The sequence below is a fragment of the Homo sapiens genome, chromosome 14, assembly GCF_000001405.40.
Source record: "Homo sapiens chromosome 14, GRCh38.p14 Primary Assembly".
Lineage (NCBI taxonomy): Eukaryota > Metazoa > Chordata > Mammalia > Primates > Hominidae > Homo > Homo sapiens.
In genome coordinates, this window is record NC_000014.9 from 25,433,779 (window position 1) to 25,444,596 (window position 10,818).

The 10,818-nt window shown below is 36.4% G+C and overlaps 1 long non-coding RNA gene across 1 annotated transcript in view; it reads left to right on the forward strand.

The window, feature by feature from the left end:
- Window positions 1–10,532, forward strand: part of LOC112268135 (uncharacterized) — a 93,016-nt gene extending 82,484 nt beyond the window's left edge. Inside the window, exon 3 of the long non-coding RNA XR_002957614.1 lies at window positions 10,187–10,532. This is a non-coding gene — a long non-coding RNA (uncharacterized LOC112268135). The remainder of the gene's footprint in view (window positions 1–10,186) is intronic.
- The last annotated feature ends 286 nt before the right edge of the window (window positions 10,533–10,818 follow it).

Below are 10,818 nucleotides of genomic sequence, written 5' to 3' on the forward strand. Positions count from 1 at the left end.
CTACAAGGCTACAGTAACCAAAACAGCATGGTACTGGTACCAAAACAGATATAGAGACCAATGGAACAGAACAGAGGCCTTAGAAATAATGCCACACATCTACAACCATCTGATCTTTGACAAACCTGATGAAAACAAACAATGGAGAAGGATTCCCTATTTAATAAATGGTGTTGGGAAAACTGGCTAGCCATAAGCAGAAAACTGAAACTGGACCCCTTCCTTCCGCCTTACACAAAAATTAACTGAACATAGATTAAAGACTAAAATGTAAGACCTAAAACCATAAAAACCCCACAAGAAAACCTAGGCAATATCATTCAAGACATAGGCATGGGCAAAGCCTTCATGACTAAAACACCAAAAGCAACGGCAACAAAAGTCAAAATTGACAAATGGGATCTAATTAAACTAAAGAGCTTCTGCACAGCAAAAGAAACTATCATCTGAGTGAACAGGCAACCTATAGAATGGGAGAAAATTTTTGCAAACTATCCATCTGACAAAGGGCTAATATCCAGAATCTACAAAGAACTTAACCAAATTGACAGTAAAAAAAAAAAACCCATCAAAAAGTGGTTGAAGGATATGAAGAGACACTTCTGAAAAGAAGACATTTATGTGGCCAACAAACATATTTTAAAAAGCCTTGATTCTCTTCTAGGGTTTTCATAGTTTTGGGTTTTACATTTAAATCTTTAATCCATCTTGAGTTGTACATGGTGTAAGAAAAGGGTCCAGTTTCAATTTTGTGCATCTGCCTAGCCAGCTTTCCCAGCACTGTTTATTAAATAGAGAATCCTTTCCACATAGCTTGGTTTTATCAGATTTGTCAAAGATTAGATGATTGTAGGTGTGTGGTCTTATTTCTGGGTTCTCTATTCTTTTCCACTGGTCTGTGTGTCTGTTTTCGTGCCAGGACCATGCTGTTTTGGTTATTATTGCCTTGTAGTATAGTCTGAAGTCTGGTAGCTTGATGCCTCCAGCTTTGTTCTTTTCGCTTAGGATTGTCTTGGCTATTTGGGCTCATTTTTGGTTCCATATGAATTAAAAATTTTTTTTTCTAATTCTGTGAAGAATGATAATGGTAATTTAATGGGAATAGCATCAAATCTATAAATTGCTTTGGGCAGTATGGCCATTTTCATGATGTTGATTCTTCCATGATGTTGAACCTCCTGAGCATGGAATGTTTTTCCATTAGTTTGTGTCCTCTCAGATTTCTTTGAGCAGTGGTTTGTAGTTCTCTTTGAAGACGTCCTTCACTTGCCCTGTTAGCTGTATTCCTAGGTATTTTATTCTTTTTGTGGCAATTGTAAATGGAACTTCATTCACAATTTGGCTTTCTGCTTGCATGTTGTTGGTGTATATGAATGCTGTAGATTTTGTATCCTGAGACTTTGCTGAAGGTGCTTATCAGCTTAAGAAAGTTTTGGGCTGAAAGGATGGGTTTTTCTAGATGTAGGATCATGTCATCTGCAAATAAAGACAGTTTGACTTCCTCTCTTCTTATTTCAATATTATTTATTTCTTTTTCTTGCCTGATTGCCCTGGCAAGAACTTCCAATACTGTGTTCAATAGGAGTAGTGAAAGAGGGCATCCTTGTCTCGTGCCAGTTTTCAAGGGCCATGCTTCCAACTTTTGCCTTTTCAGTATAATATTGGCTGTGGGTTTGTCATATATAGCTCTTATTAGTTTGAAGTATGTTCCTTCAATACCTAGCTTATTTAGAGTTTTTAACATGAAGGGATGTTGAATTTTATTGAAGGTATTTTCTGCATCTATTGAGATAGTCATGTGGTTTTTATCTTTAGTACTGTTTAAGTTATGAATCATTTATTGATTTGCATATGTTGAACCAGCCTTGGGGATGAAGCCCACTTGATCATAGTGGTTAAGCTTTTTGATGTCTGGTGGATTTGGTTTGCCAGTATTTTACTGGGGATGTTTGCATCGATGTTCATCAGGGTATTGGCCTGAAGTTTCCTTTTTTTGTTGTATCTTTGCCAAGGTTTGGTCAGGATGATGCTGGTTTCATTGAATGAGTTAGGGAGGCGTCCCTCCTTTTTAATTTTTTGGAATAGTTTTAAGTAGAAATGGTATCAGCAATTTGTACCTCTGGTAGAATTTAGCTGCAAATCTGTCAGGTCCTGGAGTTTTTTTTGTTTGGTAGGCTATTTATGACTGAATGGCTGCTTTCAATAGCAGAGTCGAGTAGTTGCAACAGAGATGCAAAGACAGTATGGCTCACGAAGCCTAAAATATTTATTTTCTGGCCTCTGATCACATTCCATTTTCATGTATAGTGATCAAATACAAAGAATAGGTGTCAAATATTTGCTTGGAGTTTTATAAGGTTTTCCTCTGGTCCACAATGGAAACTAAATATAATAAAGCAAAATAAAATTAATTTTAAAAACAAAATGTTTGATCTGTATAATATTGAATAAGAGAAAATTTTTAGATGATTTTATTTTTATTTCTATCTGAACACTTGTGCACCAATAGCTCTGGGATGCCATGTGACTTGATGTGAAATTTGAAGATCCAATAACAATGTTCCTTATCATTAATAATGAACATAGTCTCTCCTCTTACGCATGATAGCCATTACTTTACTATATTTTTGATTCCTGTTGTATTCTCAGTTGCTTTAGCCCTAAATGCATGGATGATCTCATAGGTAAACTAACAAAACCGAGAGATCCTTTTGCATGTTGGATTATAAATTAGATACAGAACATATCAATTGTGCCTCTTCTCCAAATTAAAATAAGCATGAAGAATACAGAGGAAACAATTAAAAAAATTGAATGCTGAGAAAATGGTTGATATTTATACCCCCAATCAATGACATCATTCAACTAAAATTATAAATCCACAGTCACACAACAAATGTCTGCTATGAGTTATCTCCTTTGGCAGAAGCATTATAGAGCTATTTAAGAGCTTCACTCAGATGCATAATTTGTCTATCTTTGAAAAAGTGTGATATTTATTTTCATTGTATTCTGACAGCCTACTCATATGATTATGCATTATGATTATTCTCCTTTTTGGAGCCTTCTCACACTTTACAAAATTAATGTGGTGTATCCTTCATCACCATTTTCTAAAAATGGAGTATTTTCAATCAATGGATCTAGCCAAACAAATAGCCTTATATTCTTTGACATTTTTTAAATCATGGCAGAATTGAGTGCTTTATTTTTTTCTTTTGATTTAAACAAACAAAACAGAAAAAAAACAAAAAAAAACCTGTCAACAAAAGTAATTAGGATGTCAAAAATAAAAGCTTTATTCATAATCATTACAGAAATGCTGAGGTGTGTTTAATTTAGAAGTCAGATATTTTGAAATGAAAAATCTTAGCATTTTGTGGAAATTCATACTTGCCTTGTGATTTTCCATTTATCTCCTTCCCTCTTGTGTTTGAGTCATAGAAGAACTATATGAGCTATCAGGCATTTCTTTCTGAGGCTTTGTTTTTTTTTTAATTGATTTGCTCTTCTTTTGGGTAAATAGGTCTAGAAATGAAAGGATCTAAGAAAAGAAATATTAGATTCAAGAAAAATACTGTCAAAAACTGAGTTAATATTTGAAATGTATTGCAAGTACAATTTGGAATTGGTCTTAATCCTCCAGTTGTTGCCTCCTGTTCAGCTCTGCCTGGGCAGGCTGGCCTTCGTTTGTTTAGAGACTGGCATGATGGATGAGCTGGTGCTAGGACAATGTGTTTAAGTAAAACCTGGGAGTTCCTGGGTTAGCGAAACACAATTCATGTAAAGCCTTGGGAACATCCAGCAGCTGTATTGCTATTTGCCTTATCAAGGAGACTGATTGAACCAAACCACGTCCAATTTTTATTTTTGAAAGAGGAAAAGAAATAATTTGAGGGCATTCTCCCAAACTTTGAACTTGATTCTCATTCAAGCAGAAAACTTTGAACATCTTTCTAGAAAATAGTAACAGAAACACCTGGAGAATTTATGGTGAGGAATACTCTAGGCTCCAAACTCCTTACAGACTTTCCCATCTGGCCTGAAATGACAAATAGAATTACCTACATTTCACAGGCAAGAAAATAGAAGTAAGGAGAGAATAAATGGTTTGGGCAAATTGGAAAGGAAGGAAATCAAGCTTCAGTTTTCTGGCATTCTTTTATCTGCCCTAGAATAGTAAACTTTCAATTGTTTGAAGATGTTGTTTTGTTTTTGTTTACACAGTCCAGATGCTACAGAATACATACATTTTACAACATCCTCACGTGGACATCTAGTCAGTGGTTAAAAACCTGTAGTGGGGCAACCCACTTAATTTTGGTATGCTTTTGACTATAAGAAGATTCCTCTTCAGATTAACTATGATTTCCCTCTTTTATCTTCCATTCACTTGTTCTAATAATTCTACTTTTTGGAGTCATATGGAACAAATCTAACATCTGTGTTACATCCAAGCCATTCAAATATTTGAAGATAGTAATCATACTCTCTTTGGATTAAAATGTCTTATGTCCTTTGATGTTTCTTCAACAAGTGTGGTTTTAAGGCCCATCCTTACTCTGATCTATCTTGTAGGTTTAGTTTTTTTCTTCTAACTAAAATCCGTTAAAATAATGCAAAGCCTAGAACAAAAATGCAACAATTTAGCTATGATCTGATCATGAAAGAGTTGACATAAATTCCTTCATTCTAGATTGTGTGCTTCTATGAATTTAGCCTAGGCTCACTTTTTTTTTTTTTTTTGAAGCATCACATTACTTAAACTCAGCTTATTGTAAATTAAAATCCTTAAGACCTTATGTATGATGTTGCTGTGTGATATATTACCTCATCTTTTCAGGTAGGGTTGCTTTTCCAGTCTAAAATGCACATACACTTATCTCTGTTCAATTTAATCTTATTAAAACCAATGTTTCAGTTCAGTCTAACAGACATTTTGGAGGCTATTTTGTTTTTATATTTTAGAGGCAGGGACACACTGTGTTGCTTAGGCTGGAGGGCAGTGGCTATGCAGATGTGCAGCCATAGAGCATTGCAGCCTTGAACTCCTGGGCTCAAGGGATCCTCCTGCTATGGTTCGGATATTTGGCCCCTCTAAATATCATGCTGTAATTTGATCTGCACTGTTGAAGGTGGGACTGAATGGGGGGTGTTTGGGTCATAGGGGGAGATCCCACATGGATAGATTAATGCCCTCCCTGGGGAAGGGGGAGTGAGTGGATCTATTAGTTCCCACTAGATTTCCCCTGAGAATTGGTTGTTGAAAAGAGCCTGACCCTCTTCCTTTCTGTCTTGCCATGTGATCTGTATACACCAGCTCTCCTTCTCCTTCTGCTACAAGTGGAAGCAGCCTTAGGCTCTCACCAGAATCAAATGCTGGTTTCATGCTTCTTGTACAGTCAGCAGAACCATGAGCCAAATAAACCTCTTTTCTTTTTAAATCACCCAACCTCAGGTATTCTCTTATAACCATACAAACAGGCTAAAACACTCCCATCTTAGCCTTCTGGGCAGTTCGGACCACAGGCCTGTGCCATCACAGCCAGCTAAATTTTGCAGTTTGGTTGTAATATCTAGCATGCACTTTATCCATTTTGAGCCTTGTCTTATCTGCAAATGTGATGACCATGCCCTCTATGTCACCATCCAAGACTTTGGAAATCATTTTGCATGCTACACAACTAAGGGAAAATGCTCTCCTTCCTAATGTGTATCCTTTGCTTAGTACCATTTTAGTCTGGATATTTAAAAATCGTAATTCTCCATCTAAAATGCCCTTATTTCCGAGTCCAAATCTCTTAATCTTTTGTTAAGGTCATTGTTAGTGACCTCATTAAATCCCTTGCTAAAGTCCAGGCATATTATGCTTATGTTTGCTATGGAAGATTATTCAATCTAATAATTCTTTTTAAGAAAGAAATTAGATGCATCAGCCATAACTTGTTGATAATGAACCTAAATTGAGTCTGGTAGTCCTAACTCTAGTGAAACTTTATGGCGAGTGAAATGCAGTAAAGACTCAGTGAAATGCATTAGTCGTGGCTCAAATATGACCTGAAGCTTTGAGCTTTCATGGATTATTCAACTAACTACTAAAATATTTTATTTTATATGCTTTGAATCAGGAGAAAATTAAGCTAATAATACAAGTATTTTAAAATAATTTCAGGGAGGAGCTCACAAATTTTCTGGGTATTGAAATGCTGTATTCCAATTATCCACAAATATAATATCAAGATCTAGATCAGAATTTCTTCATACTGAAGAGTCACACATCCATTAAGAAAGAACACACTGATTAAGTCTAGGAAATCTATCTCACCCACAAGAAGTTTGTCAAATAATTTTTTGAAAAGAATAAGAGGAAATATATTAATTAGCCAGAGAAGGATTCCTATTGTGTCTGGAGTTGGTTCCTTCCAGTGAGTTCGTCCTCTTGCTGACTTCAAGAATGGAGTTGCAGACCTTCGCAGTGAGTGTTACAGCCCTTAAAGATGGCATGGACCCAAAGAGTGAGCAGCAGCAAGATTTATTGTAGAGAGCAAAAGAACAAAGCTTCCACAGTGTGCAAAGGGACCTGAGCGGGTTGCCGCTGCTGGCTGGGGTGGTCAGCTTTTATTCCCTTTTTTGTCCCCACCCACATCCTACTGATTGGTCCATTTTACAGAATGCTGCTTCTTCCATTTTACAGAGCACTGATTGGTCCATTTTACAGGGTGCTGATTGGTCCATTTTACAAACCTCTAGCAAGCCACAGAGCACTGATTGGTACGTTTTACAATCCTAGCTACAAAGTGCTGATTGGTGCATTTTACAATCCTCTTGTAAGACAGAAAAGTTCTCCAAGTCCCCACCTGACCCAGAAGTCCAGCTGGCTTCACCTCTCACTATTATCATCAGCTTTTACATTTCCAAAGGTATGGGGGGATTATTGTCTTTATTTATTTAGATTTTCTTTGCTTATTTTCCTCTGACTCGGCAGATGATTGCTCTGTTCTAGCAAACATGTACGTCTTGAACTATCAAAGAAAAACAAAGAGCATACGAATTTTGGAACAATTCTTAGATGTCATGAAGTTCAATTTTCATCTAGGTGGCATCTTTCTCTATGATATTCTTGACAGATGGCCAGTCAGTCTTTACCTGAATGCCTGATTGATATAGTTTGTATGTGTGTCCCCACCCACATCTCATATTGAAATGTAATCCCCAATGTTGGAGGTGGGGCCTGGTGGAAGATGATTGGATCATGGGGGCAGATTTCTCATGAATGGCTTAGCACAATCCCCCTTGGTACTATCCTCGCAATAGTAAGTTCTCTTCAGATCTAGTTGTTTAAAAGTGTGTAGCACCTCCTTCTCATGCTCTTATCCCTGCTCTGGTCGTGTAATGTGTCTTCTCCTTCTGCCATGATTGTATGTTTTCTGAGGCCTCCCCAGAAGCTGAGCAGATGCCAGCATCATGCTTCCTGTACACACTGCAGAACTGTGAGCCAATTAAACCTCTTTCACTTATAAATTCCCCCTTCTCAGGTATTTCTTTATTGCAATGCAAGAACAGCCTGATACATTCATGTAACAGGGAACTCATTATCAATAAAGAAACTACTCTAAACATGAAAAAGTTTAAAAGTTTTAAGTATTAAAATGTTTTAAAATAATATTTAGAAAATATACCTTCCCATGGCTTTCAGCTTTTACTCTGGGTCTTGTCTTTTGTGTGAAAATAGAATAAGTGTAGTCTTTCCTCTACCTGGCAGCTCTTCAGATTTTAAAGGTGACTATCTAATTTAAAAAATTGTTTGATATTCGAGTATGAACTGTAGATCTTTTCCCTCTGCCTAGGCCAAGGAAAAGGGAGAAGCAGTGACATGAAACTCCCATGGGAAGGCATAGTCGTAAGGTGGTTAAATTAGAAAACAAAGGACTTGCAATCTACTCTAAGTTCTTACTTTAAATATGATTTGAGAGTCTCTCGTATCTATGCCTCAGCTTCACCATCTGTAAAATGAGACCCATGCTATTTTCCTAAATATAGAAGAATGCTATTGAGATGTAATGAGAGAATAAATGTTAAAGATCTCTGTAAAGAGAGTTGTAAATATAAACACTTAAGACTTTAGAGGAAAAAAATAAGCAACAGAAGAAGTTATATCTGCACCTCTGGTCAGTCATCAGCATTCTCTGTCCCCACTTTTTTTTTTTTTTTTGCTTTCTCAATGCCTGGTACAAAGGATTTGTTTTCTCTGACTCCCTCTTTCCTAACTATGAGTCCTCCCTTATTCTTTTCATCGACGAGTATCCTTCATTCAGTTTTTCTTTGACTGTTGGCCCAGATCCTGAAAGCCCTTCTTTTAATTGCTCTGCTCTTCATCCCCTTATCCCTAATCAACTGTCACATTTTTATTAGGAAAATAATTTTTAAAATTTCAAATCCTAACTACTATTCTGTCTAGTTCTATTCTGCTTCCTTATAATTTCAGTGTTCACAAATACATTAAATCCCTAATTAAAATGAAATAAAATACAAGCTTCTTTTGGGTTTGCCATATATCACCTTATTCTTTCTTCTCTTCAAACCGCTTACTCCTGCTTTATAATCCTTGCTCCAAATCCTCCTTTTATATTACCAAAAAAAAAAAAAAAAAATCAAATACCTAGGCCTCCTCCTGCTAAGACCTTATTTCTAGTTTTTTAGCCTCTGTAACTCCTCAATACCTAGCTCCATTTCCAATTTAAATCAGTCTTTCTATAAGAATAATTCTGCACTCATCTTTTAATCTGCATACTATGAATACAACCAAAGGGGTTTAAAAAATAAAAACCAAAATGCTTTTAGAATTGGTGGAGAGAAGGGACTGTATGTTGGGGATTCTGAATCTTTTTGTTTAAGAAATGCCAAATTTGGGCACTTGGGTGTAACATTTGGGATGACCCCAAGTTATCCAGGTCTTACTTACTATAGTCACTTCAAAGGAAGAAACAAAGGCCAAGGCAAAAAGGAAAAGTGTGTGTCCTAGCAGACAATATATTTTTCCTCCCATAATATCATTACTTGTGATGGTAATCACATTGCTCCGAAAAGAAAACAGATTTCCATTTTATTTTATGGTCCTAATGAATAGATCTCCATTTATGCTGCCACAAAGTCGTTTCAGGGTATGGGCTCTTCTTTTTCAGAGTAGTTAGAATAATGGATGATCTTTTCTGCAATTACTCGGGTGTAATTAAATCTGTGGATTTTGCTGACTACTCTAACAGTTGAGCACTGAAGCTTATTCCTGGAGGTTTATCTATCAATTGAATGGCAACTCTCCTGCCTAGCTATGCCCCTGTAGATGGGTTTATGAATTTATGGTTCATAGTACCCTTTTCAGAACATACTGGGTACAGCTGAGATGAATGAGGAAGGAAAGGGGAAGCGTATTTCTATGGAGATGTACTCTAGTTGTACTTTTCTTATATCTGGGTAAGGCAGAGACCTGAAGAGGTTTTATGTGAGATGAATCTGCTTAGATAGGCTGAAAACAGGTGCCCCTGTAATGGGAAATAGAGCATCTGACTGACAAAAAGCCGCATGATGTAGAAACTTTGTCCCATTCATTTTTGTATAACTGATACCTAGCATGGAGATTGGCATTTAGAAGGTTCTCAATAAGCAATGATTGACCTGAACATGGCCTGGGATAAATCACACTGAAACAGAATCTTGGTCCTTAAGAAATCTAGAGCTAAGGCCAACAAGAATATTTCCCTTCTGACTTTGTCCTGGTGTCTATTTTAACAACCAGATGATTGTTCAACACGTTGATGAACACTATGCAAATATTAAGTTGCATAAATTTAATGTTCAATTTCTATTTTCATAGCATCATAGGATTAGAAGATTTCATGACCCTCTCTATTTGGGTATGAGTGTTCCTACGTGATACTCATAGATGAAGTTTTCTATTGTAGCGTTGAAAACTTCCTTGCATTGATACCCACAGTAGCAGTAAATATTTTTAATAGTTGTACAATTATTCCAAATATCTAATTCAAATCTTTAAATATGCATCAAAGCCATTCTTTTTTTGTTTCTTCTTCCCTCAGTAGAAAATCTTTCTCTTCATATAGAACACCTGCAAATATTTTTTGCTAGAAATTAGACTATTGTCTAAAAGCCTTGTCACTTCTCTCCCCAGCTTCTTGGAGATCAACAACAATCCAAAGGCAGAAGGGAAGATAATTAGAAATTGAGGATGGGAAAGAGGAAGAGAGAAGAAATAATGACTTTCAGAGGACTTTCTCTCCCTTAGAACAAAATGAAAAGGAACACCTAAAATACTCAGCATGTGGTACTTTTGTCTCTGCTTTCTTACCTTGGGCCCTGTGATTCTTATTAAGAATAGTGATTGTCCTATATGTCCAGCTTCCTCTATTTATGAGGTAACAGAATTAATTTCTTCCTCAAGTCCCATTACTGGCATTGCTTTCTTCTTGACCAAAGCTGAGTTCTGCACCAATGCTGAGTCTTCTCATTTTGTAAAATATTTATGGTCATAATCCACAGTCATATAGGATAGTGGTCCTATAAGATTACAATACTGTATTTTTACTATACCTTTTCTATGTTTAGTTTTGTTTAGATATACAAATACTTACCATTATGTTACAGTTGCCTATAGTATTCAGGACAGTAGCATGCCATGCAAGTTTGTAGCCTAGGAGCAATAGGCTACACTATATAGCCTAGGTGAATTGTAGGCTATGCCGTCTAGTTTTGTGTAAATGTACTCTTTGATGTTGCCTCAATGATGATGTCACCTAACAGTGC